A 16,916-nucleotide genomic window follows, 5' to 3' on the forward strand; every position below is an offset into this window, starting at 1 on the left:
ACAGATGCAAAATAGGACAAGTGACATTATTAAGATATAAAAGACATGACATCAAGCCCTGATCATACATACTGTTTTTCCATAGCAAGATTTTTTGCCATTTTCATCTATTTTACTGAAATGCTTCCAATTTGCTTTTTAAGGTTTTTGATTAGCAGTCACAGAGAATGTAAATATGCTGAGAAATGGGATTATCTGAGAACTAACCAGTTGCGGAGGTTTAACAATATATAATTACACGAGTGTTATGTATTTTAGTAATATCTTCTAGAAGTAAAATCTTATATCCATATATTTCCTTATATATGTACCAATAGTTCTGTACCAATTAGAAACTATTTGTAGTATGTGGCTTTTTGCACGAAGAGGCAATCAAATTTGATAGCTTAAGCTTGGGAAATTATGCTTTTGAGATTTAAGCAGAAGCTAGGTGATACAAGAACTTTAAACTCAGGAATTAGCTGTTTGAATATGCTTCATTAATTTTAACCTACAGAGAAATGTATGTCTGCAAATGTTAAAACTGGGACTTATTGGATGTCACCAATAAATGGGAAAAATTAAATCCCAGGGAAAAAAAATTGGAAAGAAAAAAATTTCCAGAGAAATTTGAAACTGAAAACTGCATTTATAGGCCTTGCTGTTGTCTTAAATTTTGAATAGTTTTACTAATTTATTTTGATTAACTGAAAGGAGAAAGAGTAATATGAACTAAGAAGTTACATGAACTATTTTCTGTTGAAAAGATATTAACATCTTTTGGAAATACCATATCCAGCTTGGTAATATAAATACTCAGTTTTAATAGATTGCCTTCTCACCAGTCCTTAATATCTTAGAGTGAGAATTTTTTTTTTTTTTTTCCTGGAGACAGAGTCTCGTTCTGTCGCCCCGGCTGGAGTTCAGTGGTGTGATCTTGGCTCACTGCAACCTCCGCCTCTTGGGTTCAAGCAATTCTCGTGCCTCAGCCTCCTGAGTAGCTGGGACTACAGGCATGTGCCACCAGGCCAGCTAATTTTTGTATTTTTAGTAGAGATGGGGTTTTGCCATGTTGATCAGGCTGGGCTCAAACTTCTGGCCTCGAACTCCTGGCCTCAGGCGATCCATTCGCCTTGGCTGGGATTACAGGCATGAGCCACTATGCCCAGCCCTTACAGTGAGAATATTTAAAGACAAATAGAACAAGTTAAAGAACATATCTTTTATATATATCTTATCAGTAGAATTAAAAACAACATCCATATACTTGCCAGGTTCTTGGTAAGACTTTTAAATCACTTAAAAAATATTAAGCATAAATTTGGAAAATAGAGTTGAATTTATAGCTATTTCACAGAAATGGACATTACACTAAATAATTCCTAGGGTTTGATTTTTATATATGCCAAAGCAAGACTAGGAAATGACTGGAACTCCTGTATTTTTGGGTTTTTTGCAACTGCTGTCATTTTCAGAAACCAAAGAGTCAGAGCTCTCTTCCATTAGATACGGCGTATTTAAAGTTATGTTCATTTAATACAAGCACAGCAGTGGAACTACTTTTTCTTCCTACAGTGATTTAAATAAGAACTAGGTGATGCCATGGATTAAGGATAATAGGCTTTTAAAAAATTGTGTTGTTTTTCACTTTAATGAAAAACATCTGGGTAAAGAAAAATTGCAATGAACTAATTCAGTTATTAGCAAAGTAGTAATTTGGTATATATTACTTTTAATAGTTTAGCTTTATATTTAATATAAAGTTTATATTCAGGTTTAATTGTTGCTAAGGCAAAATCAACAAGATGATTTGCTTACGCCCTGTTATATTAAGTTAGTTTCACTAAGGGAAATATTATAACTCAGAAAAAACCTTTAGTGCACCTCCATGTGCCTTTTAAGAATATATATCCTCTAAAAGAGGAGAATAACTTAGGGGTTATGGCCAGCCAGGTTACTTATTAGGTTATGTTTATTGATTATATTAATATACATATTACATATATACATATATAAGTATAACATACTTATCCCAAGTATATTGAAATGTTATATTTAACTGTACTTAAATGTATATGCCATTTCAAATGAGCCTAAACCATTCTTGTTTCACTAGAAAAGCAATACTTAGATGTGATCTCATGCCCTATGACATTAAAGAAGACAGGCTTGACTATTTCCCCTGCTTAGTTTTTGTTTGATATACATGCTGTGGCAAAAGTTATTTTCTTAATGATAGGCAGATCCGCCATGATTGTGTAGGAATTTGGTGGAAAAGTAATGGGTGGTAGTTTTTTGTTGGTTTTAGTTTTGGGGTGTGCATGTGAGTACATTTGAAGGAGTGAAATTCTGATTTTTAAAAATCAGAAAATCCAGTGGAAACAGTTGATCCTATTTTCCAGTTCAATTTCTTTCTCCACCTTACTGTGGTCTTGGCCCACTTCAGATTGTGCTTTGGTCACACTGACATGTGACAACTGGACATGCAAACCCAGTGTCTAACGGACCTGATTTTGTTTCATCCAAGCAGAGGGGGTGCCCATTCTATGAATTCTGTCCCCGAGGATTTGAATAGCCAGTGTTATTTTCCATTAAGGTAGCTACACTCTTTTCATACTTACCATTTTGTTGGTATGTTCTTGTTATACCACTGCAGACACTTGTGCTTTTTCACAAGTTCTTCAAAACCATTTCTCTCTTATTAAAAACAAAAGATTGCAGAATTCAAAATAAAGCTTAAAAATATGACACCTACTACAGAGCCGCATTGTCAGACTCTCTCACTCTAATATAATCCCTGGAAATAATTTTTGGGAGCATGAAATTTAAGCTCAGCAGAAGCTCTAGCTACATCTTGAAAGCTCTAGCCTTCATTAAACCCCTTAGGAGATGTTCCTTAGCCCAGTATTTATAGAGCTGGGATGTTGGGCTGCTGTTTCTTTTTCTTTGGAGATATTAGTAAATGCAGGAAAATCTGTTATATTCAAGCAGCTCCTTTCTTTTTCTTTCTTTCTTTCTTTCTTTCTTTCTTTCTTTCTTTCTTCTTTCTTTTTCTTTTTTTCTTTCTTTTTCTTTCTTTTTCTTTCTTTCCTTCTTTCTTTCTGTCTTTCTTTCTTTTTCTTTTCTTCTTCCTCTTCCTCCTCTTTCTTCCTCCTCCTCCTCCTCCTTCACTTCTTTTCTTTTCTTTTTTTTGGTAATAGCCAAGGGATGCCACTAATGGTGGCCACAATTACTAAATATTCTTAATTTTTCTAGATCTAAACATGAGGCTGACAAGGTTCCTTATAGAGCCTGTATCTGGAACAGCATTGTCCAATGGAGTTTTTTGCACAATGGAATTTTCTTCGCCTTCTGCAGTGAAGAAAACATTCTATATCTCTGCTCTCCAGTGAGTGCCACTAGCCACTTTTAGCTGCTGAGCACTTGAAATGTGGCCAGTGTGACTGAGAAACTGAATTTCTTTATCTTATTTAATTTTAATTAAAATTTAAACTTAAAAAGTCACACATATCCAGTGGCTCTACTGTGTTGGATAGAGTAGCCTTAGAAAATCATGAAAATGAGTCACTTTGCTGTGAAGTCCTCTTTGTGGACAGTGTAAGCCATGGCAGCACATACTCCAGAAATTGGAGACTGGTCAGTGCTGACCATGGTGCGCTCTCAACCTGGTGGACACTGCACAGCTGCCCTGCAAATCATAGTGGTTCTTGTTGGATTTTTGCATTTACATTTTTTTTTTTGAGACTGAGTCTTGCCCTGTCACCCAGGCTGGAGTGCAATGGCACGATCTTGGCTTGCTGCAACCTCCGCCTCCTGGGTTCAAGCGATTCTCTTGCCTCAGCCTCCTGAGTAGCTGGGACTGCAGGTGCACGCCACCACACCCAGCTAATTTTTGTATTTTTAGTAGAGACGGGATTTCACCATGTTGGCCAGAATGGTCTCGATCTCTTGACCTCGTGATCCGCCCGCCTTGGCCTCCCAAAGTGCCAGCATTACAGCCATGAGCCACCACGCCCAGCCACATTTTTAAATAGAACTGAATCCTCCTAGTCTGGACACAGTGCGTTGCTGCTCTCAGACTCAGTCCCCAGCTGGACAGTCTCAGTTGTCCCAGAGCCTCTCCAGGTCTTGACTAGTTTGTCTGGCTTTGAGGGCACATCCAAAGTGCTTATAGAGTTCTGGCTTTGGGAGAAGGGGTTTAGGGACAGAAGTCTGGATTCGCCCTTCCAGAGAAGTACCCACTACTGTTTTATCTTCTCTTTGTCACCACGTACCTTGGTGTCACACACAGTAAAACTTTGCCATCTGACTTGCATTTCGACCCCTGTGTTTGAAAGAAATTTACCTTGAGTGTGTTTAAAAAGCAAGTACTACTAACCTCAGTTGAGCAAGACCAGTTAAGAAGTTGTGACAATTCATTTACCCACAGACAGATCTCTCACTCAAACTAGGTAAGTCTTTCCTCATAAATTATAGTGAGTCTTCCAACTTCAGATTGACCAGGAAGCTTTCAGAGCCCGTTGAGGAATACAAGAGTCCCCAGGTGAGTGGATTTACTCATGGGGGAGCGTTTCTTCTGCTTGCACCATTGTAGGACCTTAAAAATGGGTGTGTGGGGAGGAGAAGACAGTGAAGGATGCCTTGCAGCTGTGACCATTCCCTTTGTCCTGCCCAGGGTGACCCCATGCTGCTTGACACACACAGGAGCCTGAGACCTGTGTGGGGAGAGACAGACACTGAACTAGGGGACTGAGGGGGGTAAGGCAGGTCACTGTCCTCCAGAGGCCCACAGCCTACGCCCCACTATTTTCCCCCTAGAACCAGGATCCTCCAAACTAGTCATGCCTCGGAATCACCCAGGAGATACTTTAGGAAAAAAAAAAAAGTATTATTAAACAAATTCCTGTCCCTACCTCCATTTGTAGAATTAAAACATTAACATTTCTCTCAGTCCTCTGAAATCTGTCTTTATGGTTATGATGATCTTTGGGCTTTTCCAACATGCTGATGTCGGGGTACCACCCCAGACTGACTCAGTCTCAGGGAAGGACCTAAACACTGACAGATGTGAAGTCCCCTAGGTATCATTTTTGTTTGAATTTTTTTCTTTTTTGTTTTTTGAGACAGGGTCTCGCCCTGTCACCTGGGCTGCAATATAGTTGTGTGATCACAGATCACTGCAGCCTTGACCTCCCAGGCTCAGGCGACCCTCCCTCACCCTCCCAAGTAGCTGGGAATACAGGCATATGTCAACACGCCTGGCTGATATTTTAATATTTTGTAGAAATGGGGACCCACTATGTTGCCCAGGCTGGTCTCGAACTTCTGGGCTCAAGTGATCCTCCTTCCTTGGCCTCCCAAAGTGTTGGGATTACAGGTAGGAGCCACCATGCCCCACCCCCCAGGTACTTCTGAGGGGTTTTAGGGTATGCAATGAGCGTTAGGCTGGGATGTCCACTGCCCCACCCTCCTCACTTGTATGCATTTGCTGTGTAACCGCTATGCATCAGGCCCTCCTGGGCATGGTGCTGTGTTTCAGTCCCTAGCTGGTCCCATGCTTCTTCCTTGCCTCCTTTGCAGCCTCACCACTTCTGCTCTATCCCCTGGGCAAATGACCCTGAGGCCTGTGTCCAGCAGTGACCCCTCCAGATCCAGCTCTGCAGTTCCCAGTGGGCATTTCCGTCAGCATGGGTGAACCTGAGTCAGTCACCCTGCCATGCTTCTCCCTGCGAGTTGGGGTACAAATCTCAGTGTTCCTCTGCTGTTCTTCCTCCCACAGTCCAGTTTGGTCCTGAGTCCTGCCACCTCCACCCCCGTGGTCCCCTGCAATGCCTGGCTTCTCTGGTCACTCTGATGCTGGCCTCATTCAGGCCTGCACCGTCTCGTACATGGGCTGTTTCACAATGCTCTCAGTTGGCTTCTGCCTCCTCAGATTGTGTCTTTGTCCAGTCATCCTTCCCCAGCTGCTGAAGCATAGGTTGGCTCACAGAACGTGTGCCACTGAAAACGTGGGAGGGCTTCTTGGCGAAGACAGGACAGTGCACATCTCCCCCATCTGCCCACACCTGCCTTCCCAGCCGCCACGTCCTCCTGCCACACTGGGCCTGCTCGCTGTGCCCTCCTAGCTCTGTATCCTGGGCCTCACCGCGTGGTCTGGCTGCCCATCTGCCTTCCTCCTCTGGTTTGCTGATCTGTCTCTCCCTTCAGTTCTGGTTTATAGGTCACCCTACAAGCTTACTCTAATGGCTTTGTCCAAACCTCTCATTCCCCAGGTGTCCCCACCTTCTGCACCTCTAGTCTTTGGCCCTCTTTTCTCATCTTTCCTGGCTCATGTGCGGGTACTCACAGGGGCAGCTCCCACTCCAATTCCCCTGCAGGCCGGAATCACAGTCTGCCCCTCCCATGTGCAGGCCTTTGTACAAGCTCTCTGGGCACCACATGCTCTCGCAGAGGCTGCCTGTGGCATGTTTTTTGGGTGCTCCTGACCAGATGCCCTGGACAGTGCCAGAGGCCTTTGGATTTTCTGAGTGTGAGTGGGTGGAGCCTTCCTCTGGTGCCCCCAGCCTACTGCTGCTGCTCCTCTCACTGGCCCTGCCCAATACCCACACACGTGCAAATGCACACATGCATCGTCCTCCCCGGTGAGCTCTGTCTTTCCTGCTGTCACCTCTTCCCTCCCTCACCCACACCTGCATTCTCAGAGCAGCCTCCCAGTGCTTTGGTGATACTTTTGGAAAACAATTTCTTCCTGCACCTCCTTCTTCTATGGGGGAATGATAACTTTGAGACACGGCTGGTAAGTATCTGTACTGGAGGGGGAAAGGATGCCAGTAACTAACCCCCATCGTCTCCCCATCTCCGCCGTCTCCAGCGCAGCCAACCTGCCTGGACACCTCATGAAGCGCAATCCAGCTAGTCTAGCGTCTCCAGTTTCAGCCATCCTGGCTGTACCCTGTGAGCCCCCTTCTTGGGCTGCTGCTTTGAGGGTGGCCTCTAACAGCTAAACCACACCCTCAAAGCCATCCTCCCCTTCCCAGGAGATCCCTCAGGGAATATGGGAGGACCAGGCCCCTGCTGTAGACAAGTATGGGGAGACAGAGGCCATGGCCTTTGCTCTCCTGTTTCCTTGGGGAGAAAGGGTGGGCGCCAGTTGGCAGAGGAGCCTTTGAGGAAGTTGACCCAGAGTGCTGAGGGCCAGGATGGAGCAGCTTCCAAAGCTCGATCTTGGTGACGGAGGAGGAGGAAGGCATTAGAGGCTGAGAGACCCCTATGTGGATGTGTGCAGAGGTCTGAGGGAGGGTGCGAAGGCAGGGCTTATTCAAGGAACTGCAAGAATGTCAAGCATTTTAGTGTGGGGTAGAAATGGAGAGAAGGCAGGCAGAGACCAGAGTGCCAGTGCTTGGGCCTGCCTTGCCCTGCACAGACTCTTCAACTCTATCCTCAGCGCTGCAGTCCCCAGCTGGGCTGCCTTCATCTGCCATCCTCATTCTGCCTCTGTCTGGGAACTTTCTTCGCTTGGTGCCCCTACGCACACACTCCAGGCTGGCTGGGCCGGGGCATGGCTCCTCCATGGCTTTCATTGGCAGCTTGTGTTGCAGGTCCTGAAGTTAGGTGTGGGGACTGCTGAGGCTCATCCCTGCGGGGCTGGCACACTGACAGGCTTTCCCATCATCCATCAGCCTCAAGTGAGAAGGGAGAACTAGTCCCATAGGGAAACAACAGCAAAGCCACAATGGACTGTGACCATGAGGATGAGCAGTAGCTCGTCCGAACTTGTCCCTCGGCCAAGAGACCCTTTGGCAGCTTTGGGAGGAAGAGCATGGCCGGTCTCCCTTCCCCAGGGGCTGCTGCAGCCCCTTGCAGTGCCAGGAGCACACCGGGCCCTGGACTGAACAAACCGCCTTCCCAGGCCCTCTTTCTTGGCAGCTCCGTGGGCCCCAAAGCCTGACAGGAGGTGGGTGACTCTGGGTGGCCCCCCTGTGAGCACCTCCTCACAAACATGGCCGGCACCTCCCGGAAGAACATCTCTTCTCCGCTTTGCTCTCAGTTTCTGGGCTGACAATTAGGCTACTGAAAAAGGACAATTCACAACAGGCCCACACAGAGAAGGCCTTTCATGTGCAAGAATGGCCCCGTCGTCCACATTAGCACCATTATGTCTTTATTTATAGGAGGTACTGTACTTGAGAATGGTCAGGCAGCATTGCTTTAAGAAGGGTGTTTGGTCATTCGATTTGAAGCACACTGAGAGGATTCATTGTCCCCAGGCCGCACAGAGCCCGGCCCAGCAGCCTGGGGTTCGGTCCAAGTGTGCTGAGTGGGTGGTGGAGCTGACAGGGCCTGCAGGGTTGCTCTGGCTGGCAGAGCCTCTGTGGTTGAGTCCGTGGGTGGCAGGGTAGGGGGGAGGCGAGGAAGCTGTCTCATGGTCGTAGGCCTGTGACAGGCCCAGCCCAGCCTGAGATCCCTTTGCAGAATGACACAGCAGTCCATGCGGGCAGTGGGGAGCCATTCTCACCGACTCACGCAAATCCAAGAGAAGCCTGGGTTCATTAATGATTTAAGGTTTTACAGTATTGGAAATGGCAGCCTCACATCGGAAGGACCCTGGGTTTTTGTAACCCTGGCTGTTGGCACGAATGCTCCATCAACCCGGGAGGACTTCCCACAAACACTCTCTGAACTTCTCACACAGACACCTTGACCTGAAGAAATTGTCTTCAGAGAGACCTGGTTTGGTTTTGGAGAGAGCGCAACCTGCAGCAGGAGCCTTCGTTCATGTGGTCCCATCTGCCCCTCAACCCCACCCTGCCCCACCACCTCAGGTCACTTCTTCCGGCCTCCTTGGTCTGCAGTCCCTGCTGTGTTCCAAGGCACCAGAAGGCATGCAGAGGATGGTCAGAGTCTGGGGTCCCCTTCAGTTGAGGATCACACCCTGCAGCTGGCTCAGGCTCTAGGGATATCATTTGGATTGGGAATGCCCGGATGTGGGCTCTCCATTCCTCCTACTGGCTGATGGAGCACTCAAGCCCACATTCAGGGTTACAGAAAACCATCGTCCTTCCCATGTGGGGCTCTTGTTTCTAATACTGTAATCTTAAATCATTAATGAACCCAAGCTTTTCTTGGAATGTGTGAAGTCGGTGAGAACGGCTTCCCACTGCCCAGATGGGCTGCTGTGTCATTCTGCAAAGGGTTCTCAGTCTAGGATGGGGCTGTCACAGACCTGGTCTCTAAGCATCATGATCTAGGACATAAAGAGGATTGCTGGCCTCTCCACCCCTACTATTTGTTGTTACTGCTGCTATTAACTATCACTTTGTTGCATTTCCTGAGCTTAGCACTTGACTTGGATGTTTTCATTTTATCTTCATAACCACCTATGCATTAGGTACTGTTACCACCATTTTGTAGATTAAGAAACTGGCTCAGAGAGGGCAAGCCAATGGCTCAAGGTCATACATCTAGAAAGAGGTAGAGCCAGGCCATGTTGCCTCGGAGACCCAGACTCCAAGCTGCCTCAGCCCAGGCTTCTGGGTCCTTCTCACTGCCTCTTTCAGGTGTTTCTGAGTCATGAGCCATGGAAGAAGAAAAAGAAGGAACAAATCACAGGCTCGGGTATGCTCCAGGGGCCTCATTTTCTAGCTGCCTCCTCCCAGCTGGGCCTCCAGGCTTCCGTAATTCTGTAATATGGCTCCCTAGGGCCCACTTTCCTTTGCCTCCCTACATATCAGTAAGTCATTTCCTCAACTTTTTTTTTCCTTAGGGTTTTTATCCCTATTAGAAGAAAAAGTTTCCTTCACAGTGATTTATGTCTGCCTCTGCAGATCATTTTTAAAAGTGTTTCAGAGACTTTCAGAATTATTTTTGTTTGAATATTAGACTTCTGTCTCTGCAAAATGTATAACCATATGCTGTCAACCCTGGATATTGGCTTTGGTAGAGTAGACACCCTGAATTTTTTAACCTAGATGTTAATCAAGCATTCTGTCTCAAGACAACACAAACCTTAACTGGAGAAATGCTGAGAGAATAAGGAACAGGTTTAGGCTCAGGGATACACAATATCTGTCATCCCAGTTACCTCCATAAACCCACGTTAGTAAGAAGTGAAACTGAGGCAGATGGGCACAGGCTTCAGGGGAGGAAGAGAAGGGAGGCAGGACAAGTGGCTGAAACCTTCAACACAGGGCTGAGCCCTCAGGCCTGTTTATGAGTGGTGGAGCGCAGGCTTGGATGCAGATGGCCTGGGTTCACATCCTGGCTGTGCCACTTGCTCACTGCTGTGTACCTTTGAGCAAGTAAGTTGACCTCTCTGTGCATCAGTTTTTGAATCTGTAAAGTAACAGTACCGTCTTACAGGCTAGTTTTGAGGACTGAATGAGTGGATGTATACAGTACACTGAGAAAAGTGCCTGGCACATGTTAGGTGCTCAGTGTTGCTGGAGACAAGAGACTGATTTCAGAACAAACGGCTGGGGCTGTTTTTCATCCAGTAGTAATCCCTCTGTTTTATATAGGCAGAGAGGGTTGACAGGTCTGGTGAGGTGCCCACCTAAAATCAGAAAAGGTCCTTTCCAGCCACATCACAGGATTCAGGGAGATTATGTGATTTATTGTTTATTTAATTTATTTGTGCCACGCTGAGTTCCACGCAGGGTCTGAGCTGTCTTCCGTCTGCTTTCTCTCCATGTTCTGTGGCTTCTTGGTGAATGAGATTAGGGCAGGAATTGGCCCCAGTTCTGGAAGCTGGACTGGTCCTATCAGAGCAATCCCATTCTTTGTGTGTTTGCCTGTACTTGATGCATTGCTGTTGCCTTTGATTCCCTCTGCCTGGCAGGGGTGACAGGTGGGGGGAGGGATTTGTCCACCTGCCATTGTGTATATCTGTGTCTTTTTGAAAGGCACCTGCTAACATGACTCTTTTTTTCTTTTAAGAAAGCCTCTCTTGTGCTGAAAAACTAAGGCCTTATCCAGTGGCAAAGTCCTCTATAGGCCAGCCCAGTAGTGACAGCCGAGTCAGGTTATTACAGGCATTTCTGCCACATCTAAATTCCACAAAGAAGACATCAGATGGTGGCCTGAGGGTGCGTGTCATTATATACAACAAGGGATGTGGTTTAAGGACCTCATCCACCCCTCCCTGCCCCAGCTGCTCCCTTGTGGGACATTCTTATCCTCATGGTGGCCAGGATGTGGGTACACTTCAGGGGACTGAAAGTCTCTTCTGTAGTTGCCAGGCACCAGGAACCCCAGGCAGCCAGTGTGTAAGCCCAACCCTGCTGTCATCTCTGGCTCCTTCATCTCCCTCCCGCCCACATCCACTCTTTCTCCAGAGTTACCATCCAAGCACAAGATGATCCCATGCTGGTTATTCAGTGCTCCAGACTCCTGAGGGAGACGCCCTGAAGTCGGTAGACATCATGTTGGATTGGGACAGTAACTTGCTGGGTCACCTCCTTCCTGTCACTTTGCCTCTTCTGCAAAATAGAACTGCCACGCACCATCCTCACCGTAGTGCCACAAATGTCAAGTTTATGTAAATGCAAACTGCATTCAGGTCTATTCTGTTTTCCTTTCAAACACAGATACTTTAATGGCTTAAACCACTGTGACCCTGTAACTCTACAGGGTAGCGTTAGTTTTTTATAATTATCATCTTGTGACTGCACATGAGAGACTCACAAAGCACTTGTGGTCCAACTGGACTGCCTCCATAACATGAGGATCACACACAGTCGATAACGATTAGTGCCAAGGCCAAGAAAATGAGCATCCAATGACATCTGGACCAGGAGGAAAGCACAGGGCACTGGGCTGGAAGATGAGCTGTCCCAAGTGGCCCACTCCACCCGAGGGATGCCCTCCAGTTGACAGTCCCAGGCCTTCCCCCAGATAGTTGATTGCTCTTGCTCTCCATCCCAAAATCCCTGCCCAAGTTCATCATAAAGTGAATGGACCGACTCCTCTGCAGGATGGAGTGATTCTGTCTTAGTCTCTTTGTTTTAAGATTATGGACCAATGCTCCAGGAACTTTATATCTTGTACTGTTGGGTGAAAAATAAAGAGGGGAACTCTAGCTCAGGAGCCATTAGCCGGTACCAAGAAGGAAAATGGAGCTTGTCCTGCAGTCAGGTGAACAAGACAGTGATTTTGGTCTGAGTAGAACCACATGCAGTTGAGACAAAAAAGCTCAAAATGTTTAAACAGCTGTAAATCCTATGAGCAGTGAAAATGTCCCCAACATCCTAGGAGGTTTGTTTTTGTTGTTGTTTAAACTGTAATCACTACAATAAACATTTTTCTATAGAGGATGAAAAATCTAAATTTGAACACTGTTGTCTGTATTCTATGTAATGGCTATGAGAATGGTGAGATTTTTGTTTTCTCTTAGGAATGGGAAATTCATCTATATTCCCCTTAAATTTTAAAAAATATATTAAAGAGGAAATTGTTTGTGTTCTCCCAATGAATAGTAACCTAGTAGAAATTATTTTTCCTATTAAAAATTATTAACATGAGATGTGGTAAAGTGTTTTCTTTTTTTCCTCCCACCAAGATGAACTTTTCCATATTTAAAACGGCATCTCAAGACAGTTGGGGAGTGATTTTTATACTAGAAATAAGGGATGACTGCATAGTCCTACCTGGTTCAATTTATACCCTCTTCAAAATTCTGTTACTTCTTCTGCTAATACTTTGTTCTGTGGAACGCTTGCTGTGCTCCTATAGGGCCTAATAGGAAGCTTGATACACACTTTTAGCAAACCCATATTAGTTACTTTCTAAATGAATTTGAGCCCCTTCCCTTGAATGTAGACACTTCAATATGGATGCAAATGTTTCATGATAGAAATTTGATGATTATATTACAAATTCCAGTCGTACTTGAAGGGAAGCAGTTTGGTTGGATGTTGAACACAGGAATAAAATTCCACAGCTTCCCAAGGTCTAAGTTAGAACGTTAGTTGCCCCCAAAAGAGGGATTTATTTTTAAAGGGAAAATTCATTTTTAAAAATCAGCAAGCTAATCAACCACGGCAGATTTTGAATCCCAGTCCTGACCGGGAAGCAGGAAAAAGAATTCTCAAATGTACTATTAAGAGGTGGCTGTATATGTGGAGAATACAAATTGATTTTAACATTAGAATAAACACAGCATAATTTGAAATGCCAACCGAAAATACATATATTGTCTCCCCCAACCTATTGTGTATTTGTTGGGTGAACCTTGTCATTGCGCCTTTCGAAGGCAGTGGTGGCGTGTGTGCCTCACCCACACATTCACGACAGATCCTCGCTGGCTGCCATGTTCGTTTGTGAGAAATAAAGGAATCTGAAGGTGATTCGTCCCATCGTGGGCCTGATAAATTAAAAATTTGCATATGTCTGACAGTAGTTTTGCAGTTCTAGGAAAGCAAATAAGAAAGTGGAAAGCATTTAAATTAAGTGTTGCCTCTAACAAAGCTTTTAGAAATGGACAAATATAAATGATATTGATTGATTTCAATTGATTTTTTAAAAATGTTTTATTCTGTGGAGTTTCGGAAGTGACCCAAAGCTTTGGGGGAGCTTGTGAGCGGCCAGAGTGCTGGTGGCTTTCTGTTTTTATAAAAGCTCTAGCAAACTAGAACGTAAATGCTTCCTGAACATTCTCTGTTTTCAGGAGACCCGCATGAGAAAACAGCACCCGTAAGTGGGAACAATGAAGCAATCTGCTTTGTCTGCTTATAGGGACTTTAAATGGACGCTCCAGCTATAAAATACCAACAATCTCAGCAGGCCTCCTCTCCTCATTTCACAAAATTAATTTTTAGGACAGTGTCTTCTAGGGACTCAATCTTTGTGTGTTCTCTGCACCACAGATCTGCTCTTCTTGCCTAATTTTCTTAAGCTGACCGATACTTTCCTGGAAACGATTGAGGAAAATGGTGTGGTCCTGGGTATTCATGACACTGCCCACAAGGGCTCACTGGCCTGTAGGCTCCATGCCAGCCACCAGCCCATCATTTCTCAGTGAAAAGAACCTTTCAGCTCGGTTACCTCCTGGAGAGAGCTGATTTTCCAGCAGTCAGGCTTGATCTGGGTAAATAATTAGAGAGCTGGAGAGCGAAGACATCACCCTGGTGCTGTCTGTGATTCTGCTAATGTACCCAGACCCTGTGATTCCGTTGCTGCTGCAATCTTAAGGCAGCCTTTCTCTAAAGCGCGGAGGGAGGGCGGGAGAGAGAGAGAGAAACAGCAACAAAGCCAGTTGCTTGCATTTGTCTTGAAAGAACTAATGACATTTTTCATTCTTTTGGTAAAACCAAGAAAACAGCTGCAGCTCTTTATCTGCATATAAGAAGGTGAATTGCAATATGCCTCCCTCTCCCACCACCCTCACCTACCAAGACATGCATGCCCCAATGCAATTACTTTGGCCTATTGATTTATTTTTAAAACTGTATTGCCTCTAGTTTACTGGAATTTGCAGAGCTCTGGATTGTACAGGCAGATCACATTTCTCATAAAGCAGACCCTGAAGTGGTTAATAGCTTGTTCTTGAACTTTTGCAGCTGCTCATTAAAAGCCAATTAAAAAGAAAAAGCATACTGGCTGTTGTAAAGTATATGTGTCTCTCTATAAATATCCATTATTCTAAAACTTTATCACATTTTATCCCATCCTTCTTGCATGGTGCCCACGGACAAAGAAGAGCAAGAGTAAAGTATTGGACAAACTATTCTGAGGTTCTAGTGAAATTCCCAATTTTTCTCTCATTTGTGTTTTCAGCTGTAACACCAATAGATAATATGCCATTAATTCTTACTGATTGAGAATCATGATAAGAAGTCCCATGTGATTTATTGAAAAATAGCAATTGTACAAATGGTGTTTCATTACTTTTGAAAAGCATATATAATTTTGAATGAATAAGAAGAAATAGAAAAGGGTAATTAATTAAAATAATTAAGATTCACATCAGGCATGTTTAGCATGATTATATATTAACTACAAATTTCCATTAACAAATAATTGCTGGACCTAGAACTGGAAGACATATTGAAGAAACAAAGGCCATTAGCTTGGGGGGCCTTCCCAGATAAGTGCGGAAGACCCTGATTATCAGGAAAGGTGGAAATCAGCTCTTCCCCCACTTAGGCTGGCCTACACAGATTTATTCATCACAGACTCAAAATCAGTGAGTTCTTAAGATAGAGTTGAATGAATACACACTTTTCCAGCAAATATTAGTTGAATCTTCCATAGATGTGTGATGTGGGATGCTTCAGTCACCAACATATCAGGACTTGCTGGACGTCAGTGTAGGACAAACCTAGATGGTCTCGGCCCATCTAGGGTTAAATGACCCTTGAGCCAAGGAGTACGGCACAGTCACACTTTGTATTTCTCCCACTAAGAGTGTATTCAGACTATATGTCTAAACTCTTTTTTTCTTTTAATTTTTTTACCCATTTCATAAAACAGTTTGTCTTCAAACTAAAAGCAGTGATGATTGATGTTAAACATGAGACCTCTGAATGGACTGAAGGGAGTCCTTTCCTCCCTCTCTCCTTCCATCCTTCCTTCCCCCTCTTCCTTCCCCCCTTCCTCCTTTCTCCCTCCTTCCCTCCCTATACCCAAGGGGCTTTTAAAGGCTGTTCTGTGGCTAGGCTGAGGAAGGTCTTTGGAGACTAGCCGCCAGGAGGGTGCATGCGTCAAGAAAGATCATGGGGTGTCGTGTATTGGGGGGCCCAGGAGACTGCCAGGCACATTCTGGTCTGGCACAGAAGGATTGGGAATTTTTTTTTTTTTTTGGAGAATCATGGGGCATGACTGTCCCCCTATCATGGGACAGTGTCAGGACTGTGGTATTTTAGGTGTCATAAAAGGAACCTTTGGAGGAAAAAAACATGTAGGAACCCTTTCTCGTAATGCCACTTGCAGGTTACAGCTTTCAAAGCAAAGCCAGACTCCGGCCCTGCCCGGGGTAGGAAGTCTTTGTCTGCCTGCGCGCCCGAGCGCTCCCGGCTTGGGATTGATTTTTGGCCCCCGCTGCAGCAAGTTGGGGGCTGGTGAGGAGTGTAGCGGTGACTGGGGGCGGAGTGCGGACTCGCATCCGCTGTACCAGGAGCCCACTGCCACCTCGGGATTTTTTTTTTAACTTGGAATTTCCATATGACAAAAAAGAAAGAGGTTTCTCCTCAATCTAACGGAGCCATTAACATCTATTAATAACGCCGACAGGGTAAGTAACGGAGCCGCGCTCCTCGGGGTGGTCACCGGGCTGCGTGGTCCTCGGCCGGCCTCCTGCATCCGCTGCCCCTGTGCGCTCCGGGCCGGATGCGCAAGGGCGGCGCGGGGACCAAGCCTGGCTGCCGGCCGCCTACTCCTCCCCTTCCCTAAGGTAAGGGGTCGTTTTCACACTCACCAGAGCTCCTGCGGGCTGAGCTCGCCCCCTCCCCCGACTTCTTTGCGGGGCATTTTCTCTTGCTGGTGTATTACGTGTCATTTCTCACGGGGCATTGCCGGCCGCTTTTCTGCAACTGTCCTTTCGGATTTGGTGATCTGGTCCGGCACAGAGGCTCTCCTAGGAGGTGGTGCCCATGCATATTCATTCTGTGTAGTAACCGACTGGCCGTCTTGCCATTGCAGGCTGATTTATTGATTTATGTAGGAAGTGTGTTTTATTTTAGTAATTAGGGAACCCTGAATTCACGGGAACCGTCTGCACTTCGCAGGCATGTTCATTGCTGGGCATGAAAGACAAAGGTTGTCGTGCACCCCGCTTCATTTTCTAGCTAGTGACCATTGACTTTGTTGTTTTGTGGAAGGCTAATTAGGAATGGAATATTTTTTTTTCCCAGAGGAATCGCTGAAATAAATATTAGTGTTTATAAAGCACATAGCTTTTTTTTTTTTTTTTAAATAACATTTGACAGGTAACTACTACTGAG

The 16,916-nt window shown here is 45.3% G+C and overlaps 1 long non-coding RNA gene across 4 annotated transcripts in view, besides 1 other annotated feature; it reads left to right on the forward strand.

The window, feature by feature from the left end:
- LOC124909489 (uncharacterized) overlaps window positions 1–16,916 on the forward strand; it is a 123,033-nt gene that overhangs the window by 6,520 nt on the left and 99,597 nt on the right. The window lies entirely within an intron of this gene.
- Window positions 8,056–8,805: an enhancer, noted in NCBI's record as "H3K27ac-H3K4me1 hESC enhancer chr3:44055399-44056148 (GRCh37/hg19 assembly coordinates)". NCBI's record gives its function as "activates a minimal SCP1, AML or CMV promoter by ChIP-STARR-seq in naive H9 embryonic stem cells {active_cell/tissue: H9 hESC(naive)}" and the evidence as "EXISTENCE:reporter gene assay evidence [ECO:0000049][PMID:30033119]".

The sequence above is a fragment of the Homo sapiens genome, chromosome 3 (assembly GCF_000001405.40).
Source record: "Homo sapiens chromosome 3, GRCh38.p14 Primary Assembly".
NCBI classification, from domain to species: domain Eukaryota; kingdom Metazoa; phylum Chordata; class Mammalia; order Primates; family Hominidae; genus Homo; species Homo sapiens.